We start from the raw sequence: 12,918 nt of genomic DNA, 5'->3' as shown, positions 1-12,918 counted from the left end.
TGATGCTTGGAATATATCAAACACAGATACAATTAATATCAGATTTATTGATTTTTACTACTAATAAAGATTTCTAGCTTAAAGTTGGTGATTTTATTTATTCTTCTTAGTTCTTTTGTATTTCTGATCAAGCGCTTTAGTGCTAGTGGTTTGAATAATATAATTGCAAACAGGAGAATACAGGCATATAATCAAAGATGTAATACAGAGATTTAAGTGTATGAAAGTACAAATGGAATGTCTCTATCTCAGAATGGAAGAGTTTAGAAAGGTTCCAAAAAGGTAATATTTGTTTTGAAGTGCAGAGATGAGAGATTATTTCACTAAGAGTAAAGGTATGTTCAAATTGGCTATCCTGTTTCTATTCACTTGGTTTTAGTCAGGCAAAACCAGGATAGGGTAGAGTATGCTGTGCTAACAAAGAACTCCAAAATCTCACCTTAACATAGCAACGATTTCTTTCTCAGCACACGTCCATTCTGTGTCTGTTAATCACAGTTACCCAGGTAGAAGGAGGGGCCTCCTCTTCTATCATTGTCAATGCCAGGATAAGAGAAATCCATGAAGGATCCCACTCCAGCAATTACATGCTCCGGCCTAGAAGCATCATAAAAAAGTTCTGTTCAAAACAGTTTGGCCAAAATTACTTGATGCCTAGGAAATACAGTCCTTTCACATGCCTGGCGGGGAACAACCTAGAGATAGTTGATAAACAATATTAATGACTACCAGACATGCTTTCTCCAAAAGTACCTCCCTATTGTGGAAGACAATGGCTATGGTTTGCTGCATTTACTAGAATCCTTTAGCACACTGTATTTTTCTACATCCTTTTCTTTGTTTTCTTCTAATTTATCTAATTTGCCACTGAGTTCATGTTCTTTCTTCAATTCCTTTGTATTTCTATTACCACCTGCTTTCAAGCAGCTAACATTTTTACAGGAGAATATGTGCATATAGGCAAAAATATAATTGCAGAGATTTAAGTGCATAAAAGTAAAAATGAAACGTCTCTATCTCAGAATGGTGGAGTTTAAAAAGCTTCCAAAAAGGTAATATTTGCATTGAAGCGTGGAGATGAGAGATTTCATTAAGAATAAAAGCATGCTCAATGCAAAGAGACATGATTAATGCACAGACATGCTAATTGTTTAACATAGCCACCTAAAATTCAGATTCTAGGGAAGTCTCTGGTTGATCTGTCTTACGTCATGTGTTCATGGCTTGGCTAAGAAAAAAAAGAACATTGTGATTGACAGCAACATCAATATTATTGCAATTATGAAGGATGCCTATCTGAGAAAGATAGAATGAAGAATGAGAAGTAATGCTGGAACAGAAAAAAATAAAATAAAATATAGTTTTAAGTAAAGTCATACCAAAATGACTAAGGTTTTGTATGTCATATCAGTTGTCTGGCTTTAATTGTCAAAATGATGTAGAACCAACTAAAGGAATTTAAGAATTGAGTGACAGGTGCAGACTGCAGTTTAGAAAAATCTCTCTTTCTCCCACAGTATCATAGAGGATGGACTCATTAGAACTTGAAGCAGGGACCTCTTAGGGAGCTATTGCTATAATTTAGTTGAAATATGAGGAAGCCACAATAAAAATCAGCAGTCGAGGTTAAGACAAGGAGAGCAGCACTCCCAGATATGTAGAGAACATATAATAAAGCAGTGTGTAGGGATCAATAGGGTGATAGATGTGAGTACAAAGGAGAAATAAATGCAAGCTGACTTAGGAGTCCTGCCTTTGGTGGATGGTGGTGCCAGTGATTAGGGGGCAGAGGAAGGGAAAGCAGGTTTCCATGAAATGGTGAAGGTGGCAATGAGCTCAGTCCTCAGTCACCCAGAGCTCTCTCCACTATCTTTGTGTCCTGAAGAGCAATATTTCAAAAAGCAAAACCATTTTTTGATTAGAAATACCTGACAAACCGAATGCCACCCAGGGTCATATCATTCCTAGGAGTGAGGTCATCATTGCATATTTAATTTGAGTTAAATCAGTTTTAAAAGAGTGTACAGTTAACACACATTGTAATATTTAACAGGGTATTTTCAAATAAATAACTGTTGGAAATAGTATAATATCACAAAATTATCAAATAATGATATATAAAATTGATAGATAAAAAGCGTATTTTTTAAAAACGGAAAAAAATATTTTTTTCATCCAAGCACCTACCATTAAAGGTAGAGCCATGGTTCAACTGCCACAGTATACACCAAGAGTACCTTCAGGCTCCTCTAGTTTCAAACATTTTATTTTTTCTCTTAACTAATTTCCGTAAGTTATCATAAATCCCAAGCTACATGGGTGTCCTAGATTTCATAACCAATTTCCACCTTTCTATTTTACTTGTTTGGCCCAACACTATGAAACTGCATTTAACTCTGTCTGTGCTGAGAGTCACTATATAGCATTTTACATTTCCTTCCTATATGCCATGTCCATATAGCTAATTCTCATAGTCACTTTTAAATCCATTTTAAGGCACTGTAGGATATTCAGAAATAATCATTTTAACAAATTCAAATATAATTACACTTTGTTTTGAATTTAACTTTCAATTGTGATGATTTAAGCTGACCTAGAAAAAAATACAAATTTTTTATTCATTTATTTATTCATGCATGCTTCAGTTTGGGAAACATTAAGACCTGTATATGTGCAAGGCATTAGAAAATGAAAATATGAATAAGTAAAGATAAAGCATACATTTGAGTAACAGTAATATGAGATAAAATGTGAACTAACAACAATTTGAGAAAAAATAATAAATTCTGTTATGTTACTCCTCAAAAAGAGCAAATCACTTCTTCAACTGCTTACTGATAAGCACCATGCATTCAGATTGGTTTTTGATGTTGGAAGAAATAAAAGAACGGTAGAGGAAATGAGAAACTAACCAAGGTAATGCCTTTTAGGAAATAAATGTAAAATCTGAACAAATTATTTACATGAAAATGAGTATAACTTGAGTTTTTCTTTTTCAATTAAGCTTAATTTTTAATAACTTTGCACAGGAGAATGTTTTGAATTGAATTTTAAGATTAAAATTGAGAAAATATCAGATAAGTCATGCCTCTAAAACTGGTTATTATTTCACTCTTAGCAATTTTCTATACAATCCCATTTAATAGATGACAAGCACAATTTTGCCAGTTCTCTACTCAGGAAGTCAAGTCAATGTAAATTCCCAAAAGAGAAAAATAACAATAAATTCCATCTAGTCTTAATATGGAATATGCAAAAGTCTTTAGGGATCAAGGGAGCTTTGGTTAGATGGGATATAATTTAATCACATCACTCTGTATACCACAAATCATTTTTCATAAATTTTTATTTTAATGTAATTTCAAATTCATAGCAAAATTTCAAGAATATAAGGAACTTCCATATACACTTCCCCCACATTCACTAATTGTTTAGATGTTCTCCTATTTGTGTTCTCTCTCTCCAACAGATGCATAAACATATACACCTTCCCTCTCTAGATAGCTAGATGGATGAAAGTATACACACACACATGGACATAGCTTTTTTTAAATCCATTCAGAAAAGTTGGAAATACTGTAGCTCTTAATTCCTAAGAACTTCCATATATATTTTTCAAAACTAGATATTTTCTTAGTTAACCATAGCAAAATGATCAAAATCAGAATATTTACAATATAATATCTAATCCATACTCCATATTTGTTTTTAAATTATTCCAATAATGTCCTCTACTATTCTGTTTGCTGGTCAAGGATCCACTTCAGATTTTTTTGCATTTATTTGTCATGTTTCATTAGTTCTTTAATATGGAACATTTCCCCAGTCTTTGTCTTTCTGGACCTTGATATTTTTTAGGGGTACAGTGTAATTATCTCACTGATTGGCAGGCATGTCATAGAAGTGATGTTGTGTCCCTTTTGGTTCATTGTATCAGGAGGCAGATTCTATGAATTTGTCTGAATATTAATAACTCTCATCACTTGGTTAAAATGGCCTCTACCAGATTTCTGCCCAATATATTTTTATACATTCTTCTTCTTTTTTTGAAATGGAGTCTCACTCTGTCGCCCAGGCTGGAGTAGTACAGTGGCGCTATCTTGGCTCACTGCAACCTCTGCCTCCCAGGTTCAAGCCATTTTCCTGTCTCAGCCTCCTGAGTAGCTGGGATTACAGGCACGTGCCACCACGCCTGGCTAACTTCTGTATTTTTAGTCGAGATGGGGTTTCGCCATGTTGGTCAGGCTGGTCTCAAACTCCTGACCTTGTGATGCACCCGGCTCAGCCTCCCAAAGTGCTGGGATTACAGGCATGAGTCACCAAATATATATTAAGGTGATTTCCAGTGATGAGTTGTTGAAGATTGTTTCTGATTTCCAGACATTTTTAAAAACTTATTTTCACAAAAAATCTGCACATGTATGTTTACAGTGGCTTTATTCATAATTACCAAAACTTGGAAGCAATCAAGATGTTCTTCAGTAGCCGAATGGGTAAACTGTGAAATATCCAGACAATAAAATACTATTCAATGATAAAAAAGAAATGAACTATCAAGCCATGAAAAGACAAGGAGGAATCTTAAATACATATTACTAAGTGAAAGAAGTCAATCCGAAAAGGCTACATATTGTTTAACTATATGACATTCTGGAAAGGGCAAAACTGTGGAGACAATAAAAGAACAAGTGATTGACAGGAGTAGGGGATTGGGAGATGGAGGAATAGGAAGAGCACAAAGGATTTTTAGGGCAGTGAAAATATTCCCTATGGTGCTGTAAAGGTGTTTACATGCCACTATACATTTGCCTAAACCCATACAATGTACAACACCAAGAGTGAACTCTAACATAAACTATGGACTTTGGGCAGTTAGGATGTGATAACACAGATTCATCAGTTGTAACAAATGTACCCCTTTGGTGGGGGATGTTGTTAATGGGGAAGGTTATGCATGTGTTGGAGTAGTGGGTATATGGGAAATCATTGTACCTTTCTCTCAATTTTGCTTTGAACCTAAAACTATTATAAAAATACTCTTTAAAGTAAATATTCTTTACATTAAATAATCTACTGTTGTGACCTTAAGACACATTCTAACAATGAGACAAAGTAGTCAAAATTAGACCATTTCATGTAGCTCAATTCAATTACACAAATATTTATCTGTGGGAAATATTACCAAGTAAAAGACACCTTGAACAAGTTACAATTTAGTAGGGAGCCAATCAGGTTAATAGACATCTATTCTGCCTCATATAAGCATCAAGTACCTCAGGAAGTATCCAGACTAACTATAGATAATATACACATTATATAGATAATATATAATTATAGATAATAAAAAACATATATGTAATCAGGTTAGAACAAATTAAGTCATTCAAATATGGAGTATAGAAAGAAGGTGTTTTCTATTTTTCTTTTCTGTTGCCCATGCTGGAGTACAGTGGCACCAACATGGTTCACTGCAACCTTGACCTCCTGGGGTCAAGAAATCCTCCTGCGTCAGCTTCCTGAGTAGCTGGGAACCCAGGCGCATGGCATCATGCCTAGATAATTTAAAAAAAAATTTGTAGAGACAAGGTTGTTGCTGAGGCTGGTCTCAAACTCCTGGGCTCAAGCAATCCTCCGTCAGCCTTCCTAAGTGTTGGGATTACAGGCATGAGCCACTCACCATACCCGACCAGAAATTATTTTCAATATAATAAAATGCAAAAGCAGGAAAAATAAATGAGTAATTATGTAGAATATAGATTTTTTAAAAGTCTTGAAAATATTTAGGAAAGAGGCAATCCTGTTTCAGAAGCACATAAGTTATATGTTTAATAATAAATCTGGAAAGATAAGTTGGATAGAGATAGGTAGAGAACTTTGACTACTACAAGTAGAAATCTATACTTTTTTAAATCAAGTAATTGAAAACATTTGGACAGACCAGAACTATGATAAGTGTTGTAATTAGAGATAGGAATGGGCAGGTGGATAGAGAAAAATGGCAGATAGGAGGAAGGACTAAATTACAGCTCCCACTCAGTTGGACAGAGCAGTGTGTGGAGACTCACATTATGAGACTTTGCTCCAAGAACTACTGCAGGAACACACCAGGAAAGTCAAGAGAATCCACAGACCCTTTGAAGGAAGCAGATTGCTCCTGCGGGCCCCAGGAGACAGCCCCAAAACTGTGAGTGCCAAAAGTGTGAAAGTGTGAAACAGGGATTCTCCATCCCCAAACACACACCTTCACTGGGGGGACCTGAAGGTCCAGATCACAGGAGAAGGATTTGACCTTAACTGGAGCTGAGACAAATTTAGATAGCCAAGAAAAATACAGGGGTAGAAGAAGCAGTGGGAAGAGTCCTGTAGGCTCTCTCAGTCCCCAGGGAAGGCATTTCTGACTTTGTCTCACAGGGGTCCTTGAGGAGAGCTGCCAGAGGAACTTGGAAAAGACCACAGGGAGAAGGAAACTTCCAGCTGAACTTTGTAACAATTTCCACCTAACACGAAGTTTCCTGGACAAAACTCAGGGAAGGGAGGTGAATCCAGAGTGCAGACACAGCACAGAAGCCCCACAGCAGGTAGGGAGGCACAAAACCTGAAAGTCCTGCTTGCTTTCACAGCTGGGAAGCTGGTAGCCTGGGGCAAGTTCACAGCCCTGCTTATCTGCTGCCTGGAAACAAACTTAGTGCTGTTGGGGAGGGTGGGCACAAGTGGGAGTGAGACCAGACTTTTGGGCTGCATGGGAGCTTGGTGAGGCCTGTACCTGCCAGCTTTCCCCCACTTCGCTGGTGACCTGCATGACATAGCATAGGATGCTGTAGCCCATAATCCCCCAGGAATATAACTTCATTGGCCTGAGAACCACACCCCTAACCCCCATAGCAGCCACAGCAAGCCCCACTCAAGGAGAGTCTGAGCTAACACACACCCAACCCTGCCCTCACCTGATGGTCTTTCTCTATCCACCCTGGTAGCTAAAGACAAAGGACAAATTCTCTTGGGAGCTCTAGGGCCCTGCCCACTGATACTGCCACAGATGATGCTCTTTTGAAAGTGCCACCTCCTGGCAGGAGGCCAACCAGCACAAAACTAAACCAATAAACAAAATTACAACTAAGGATACTCATGTTGCAGGAAGTCAGGGACCCGAACAGAGGGACTGGCTGAAGCCATGGCAGAAGAACATAAAATTGTGAAGATTTCATGGACATTTATTAGTTCCCCAAATAAATACTTTTATAATTTGTTATGCCTGTCTTTACTACAATCTCTGAATATAAATTGTGAAGATTTCATGGACATTTATCACTTCCCCAGTCAATACTCTTGTGATTTCCTATGCCTGTCTTTAATCTCTTAATCCCGTCATCTTCGTAAGTTGAGGATGTATGTTGCCTCAGGACCCTGTGATGATTGCGTTAACTGCACAAATTGTTTGTAAAGCATGTGTGTTTAAACAATATGAAATCTGGGCAGCTTGAAAAAAGAACAGGATAACAGCAATGTTCAGGGAACAAGGGAGATAACCATTAGGTCTGGGTGCCTGAGATTCGAGCGGAACAAAGCCATATTTCTCTTCTTTCAAAAGCAAATAGGAGAAATATCGCTGAATTCTTTTTCTCAGCAAGGAACAGCCCTGAGTAAGACAATGCGTTCCTAGGGAGAGGTCTCTAAAATGGCTGCTCTAGGAATGTCTGTCTTTTACAGTTGTAGATAAGGGATGAAATAAGCCCCGGTCTCCCGTAGTGCTCCCAGGCCTATTAGGACGAGGAAATTCCCTCCTAGTAAATTTTAGTCAGACTGGTTGTCCGCTCTCAAACCCTGTCTCCTGATAAGATGTTATCAATGACAATGTGTGCCCGAAACTTCATTAGCAATTTTAATTTCACCCCAGTCCCGTGATCTCACCCTACCTCCATTTGCCTTGTAATATTTCATTACCTTGTGAAGCATATGATCTCTGTGACCCACACCCTATTTGTACACTCCCTCCACTTTGAAAATCACTAATAAAAACTTGCTGGTTTTGCGGCTTGGGGGGCATCACAGAACCTGCTGACATGTGATGCCTTCCCTGGATACCCAGCTTTAAAATTTCTCTCTTTTGTACTCTTTCCCTTTATTTCTCAGACTGGCCAACACTTAGGGAAATAGAAAAGAACCTACATGAAATAACATTGAATTATTGGGGGCAGGTTCCCCCGATATATTCACAGAGTCCATTTCACTCCCCTGCCACTTCCACCAGAGGAGGTGCTAGTATCCACAGCTGAGAGACCTGAAGACCTTTCATGTCACAGGACTCTGTGCAGATACCTTCCAGTACCAGCCTGGAGCACAGTAGCTCCTCTGGGTGGCTAGATCCATATGAGAAATAACAATTACTGCAGCTCAGCTCTCAAGAAGTCATATAACTAGGAAAAGGGAGAGAGCACTACATCAAAGGAACACCCCATGGGGCAGAAGTTTCTAATAGCAGCTCTTGAGCCCCAGATCTTCCCTCTGACAAAGACTACCCAAATGAGAAGGATCCAGAAAAACAATTCTAGCAATATGACAAAACAAGATTCTTTAACACCACCAAATGATCACACTAGCTCACCAGCAATGGATACAAAGAAGAAATCCTGAATTGCTGGAAAAAGAATTCAAAAGTTTAATTATCAAGTTAATCAAGGAGGCACCAGAGAAAGGTAAAGTCCAACTTAATGAAATAAAAAATAAAAATGATACGAAATATGAAAGAAAAATCTTCAATGAAATAGCATAAATAAAAGACAACCACAACTTCTGGAAAGGAAGAACTTACTTAGAGAAATGTAAAATGCACTTGAAAGTCTCAGCAATAGAATCAAATAAGTAGAAGAAATAATTGCAGAGTTTGAAGACAAAGCTTTCAAATTAACCCAATCCAAAAAGAAAAATAAAAAGAATTAAAAAAAAATTAACAAAGGCTCCAAGAAGTTTGGGATTATGTTAAACAACCATACCTAAGAATAATTGGTGTACCTGAGGAAGAAAATAAATCTAAAGTTTGGAAGACATACTTGAGGGAATAATTGACGAAAACTTCCCTGGCCTTGCTAGCGATCTAGACATCCAAATATAAGAAGCTCAAAGAACACCGGGGAAGTTCATTATAAAAAGATCGTTGCCTAGGTACATAGTCATCAGGTTATCTAAAGTCAAGATGAAGGAAATAATCTTAAGAACTGTGAGGCAACAGCACCAGGTAACCTATAAAGGAAAACCCATCAAATTAAACAGGAGATTTCTCAGCGGAAACACTGCAAGCTAGATGGGATTGGGGCCTTATCTTCAGCCTCTTTAAAGAAAACAATTATCAGCCAAGAATTTTGTTTCCAGCAAAACTAAGCTTCATAAATAAAAGAAAGATACAGTCTTTTACAGATAAACAAATGGTGAGATAATTTGCCACTAACAAGCTAGCACTACAAGAACTGCTAAAAGAGGCTCTAAATCTTGAAACAAATCCTCAAAACACACCAAAACAGAACCTCCTTAGAGCATAAATTCACAAGACCTATAAAACAAAAACATAATAAATAATGCTTTAAAATAAGGTATTCAGACAACAAATAGCACGAAGAATAAAATAGTACATCATATCCCAATAATAACATTGAATGTAAATGGCCTAAGTACTCCACTTAAAAGATACAGAATAGTAGAATGGATAAGAATTCATTAACCAAGTATCTGCTGTCTTCAAGAGACTCACCTAACATATAAGGAATCACAAAAACTTAAGGTAAAGGGGTGGAAAAATACATTTCATGAAAATGGACACCAAAACTGAGCAGCATTGGCTATTCTTATATCAGACAAAACAAACCTTAAAGCAACAGCACTTAAAGACAAGGATGAACATTATATTGTGATAAAAATTGTCCAACAGGAAAATATTACAATCCTAAATATATATGCACCTAACAATGAAGCTCCCAAATTTATAAACAATTACTACTACAACTAAGAAATGAGATGGACAGTAACACAATAATAGTGAAGGACTACAATACTCTACTGACAGCACTAGATAGCTAATCAAGACAGAAAGTCAACAAATAAACAAACTATACCCTAGAACAAATGGACTTAACAGATATTTACAGAACATTCTACCCAACAACTGCAGAATATACATTTTGTTCATCAGCACATGGAACATTCTCCCAGGTAGACCATATGATAGGCCACACAACAAGTCTCAATACAGTTTTAAAAACTGAAATTATATCAAGTATTATCAGTGGAATAAAATTGGAAAGAAACTCCAAAAGAAACCCTCAAAACCATGAAAATTAAATAACCTGCTCCTGAATTATCACTGGGTCAACAATGAAATCAAGACGGAAATTTAAAAAAACTTTGAACTGAATGATAATACTGACACAACCTATCAAAACCTCTGGGATACATCAAATGCAGTGCTAAGAGGAAAGTTCACAGCCTTGAATGACTACATCAAAAAGTTTGAAAGAGCACAAATAGACAATGTAAGGTCACACCTCAGGGAACTAGAGAAACAAATCAAACCCAAACCCAGCAGAAGAAAAGAAATAACAAAGATCAGAATAGAACTAAGTGAAATTGAAACAAACAAAAAATACAGAATATAAATAAAATAGAAAGGTGACTTTTTGAAAAGATAGATAAAATTGATAGACCATTAGCAAGATTAACCAAGAGAAGAGAGAAGGTCCAAATAATCTCAATTAGAAACAAAATGGGAGATATTACAACTGATACCATAGAAATACAAAAGATCATTCAATGCTACTATGAACACCTTTACACACATAAACTAGAAAACCTAGAGGAGATGGATAAATTCCTGAAAATATACAATCTTCCAATAACAAGCAGTGAGACTGAAATGGCAATTTAAAAAATGCCAACAAAAAAAAGTCCAGGACCAAATGGATTCACAGCTAAATTCTATCAGACATTCAAAGAAGAATTGGTACCAATCCTATTGACACTATTCCAAAAGATAAAGAAAGAAGAAATCCCCTCTAAATTAGTCTATGAAGCCAGTATTACCCTAATACACAAACCAGGAAAGGACACAGCAACAACAACAACAAACAAAAAAACAACAACAACAACAACAAAAAAAACAAACAAAAAAACCACCATACACCAATATCCCTGATAAATATAGATGCAAAAATTCTCAACAAAATACTAGCTAACTAAATCCAACAGTATATCAAAAAGATATTCCATTATGATTAAGTCAGTTTCATACCAGGGATTCAGGGATGGTTTAACATCTGCAAGTCAAACAGAATTAAAAACAAAAATCACGGCCAGGCGTGGTGGCTTATGCCTGTAATCCCAACACTTTGGGAGGCTGAGGTGGGCAGATCACAAGGTCAAGAGAATGAGACCATCCTGGCCAACATGGCGAAACCTCATCTCAACTAAAAATACAAAATTTAACTGGGCATGGTGGCACACACCTGTAGTCCCAGTTACTCGGGAGGCTGAGGCAGGAGAATCGCTTGAACCCGGGAGGTGGAGGTTGCAGTTAGCCGAGATGACACCACTGCACTCCAGCCTGGTGACAGAGCAAGACTCCATCTCAAACAAAACAAAACAAAACAGAACAAAAATCATGTGATCATCTCAATAGATGCAGGAAAAGCATTTGACAAAATCCAGCATCCCTTTATGATTAAAACCCTTAGTCAACTTGGCATTAAGGGACATACCTTAATTTAATAAAAGCCATCTATGACAAAACCACAGCCAACATAATATTGAATGGGGAAAAGTTGAAAGCATTCACCCTGAGAACTTGAACAAGACAAGGATGCCCATTCTCACCACTTCTATTCAACATAGTACTAAAAGTCCTAGGCAGAGCCATCAGACAAGAGAAAGAAATAAAGGGCATCCAATTCAGTAACAAGAACGTCAAACTGTCACTGTTTGCTGTTGATACAATTATATACCTAGAAAACCTAGAAAACACTCATCCGAAAAGCTCCAAGAGCTGATAATTCAGCAAAATTTCAGGATACAAAATTAATGTACAGAAATCAGTAGCTCTGTTATACACCAAACAGCAACAAAGATGAGAATCAAATCAAGAACCCAACCCCTTATAATAGCTGCAAAAAAGTAAAATACTTAGGAATATACTTAACAAAAGAGGTGAAAGACTGCTACAAGGAAAACTACAAAACATGGCTGAAATAAACTATAGATGACACAAACAAATGGAAATACATTCCATGCTCATGGAGGGGTAGAATCAGTATTGTGACAATGACGATACTGCCAAAAGCAATCTACAAATTCCATGCAATATCCATCAAAATACCACCATCATTCTTCACAGAACTAGAAAAAACAATCCTAAAAGTCATATGGAACCAAAAAAGGGCCTGAATAGCCAAAGTAAGACAAAGCGAAAAGAACAAATCTAGAGGCACCACATTACCTGACTTGAAACCGTACTATAAGGCCATAGTCACCAAAACGGCATGGTACTGGTATAAAACTAGGCACATATACCAATGGAACAGAATAGAGAACCCAGAAATAAAGCCAAATACTTACAGCCAACTGATCTTTGACAAAGCAAACAAAAACAAAATGAGGAAAGGACACCCTGTTCAACAAATAGTGCTGAGATAACTGGCAAGCCACATGTAGAAGAATGAAACCAGATTCTCACCTCTCACCTCATACAAAAATCAACTCATGATTGATCAAGGACTTAAATCTAAGACCTGAAACAATAGACATTCTAGAAGATAACATCAGAGAAATCCTTTTAGTCATTGGCTTAGGCCAAGACTTCTTGATCAAGAACCCAAAAGCAAATGTAACAAAAACAAAAATAAATACATGGGACTTAAGCTAAAAAGCTTCTACATAGAA

General features: G+C 36.9%; 1 long non-coding RNA gene across 1 annotated transcript in view; it reads right to left on the bottom strand.

Moving 5' to 3' along the window:
* Positions 1 to 12,515, bottom strand: part of LOC107985978 (uncharacterized) — a 77,592-nt gene extending 65,077 nt beyond the window's left edge. Inside the window, exons 1-2 of the long non-coding RNA XR_001739867.1 lie at positions 12,476 to 12,515; positions 440 to 597 (exon numbers count right to left, since the gene is read on the bottom strand). This is a non-coding gene — a long non-coding RNA (uncharacterized LOC107985978). The remainder of the gene's footprint in view (positions 1 to 439; positions 598 to 12,475) is intronic.
* Between the last annotated feature and the right edge of the window lie 403 nt (positions 12,516 to 12,918).

The sequence above is a fragment of the Homo sapiens genome, chromosome 2, assembly GCF_000001405.40.
Source record: "Homo sapiens chromosome 2, GRCh38.p14 Primary Assembly".
Classification (NCBI taxonomy): domain Eukaryota; kingdom Metazoa; phylum Chordata; class Mammalia; order Primates; family Hominidae; genus Homo; species Homo sapiens.
Note: the sequence above shows the minus strand (reverse complement) of the source record. Positions and strands in the feature narration are given on the sequence as shown.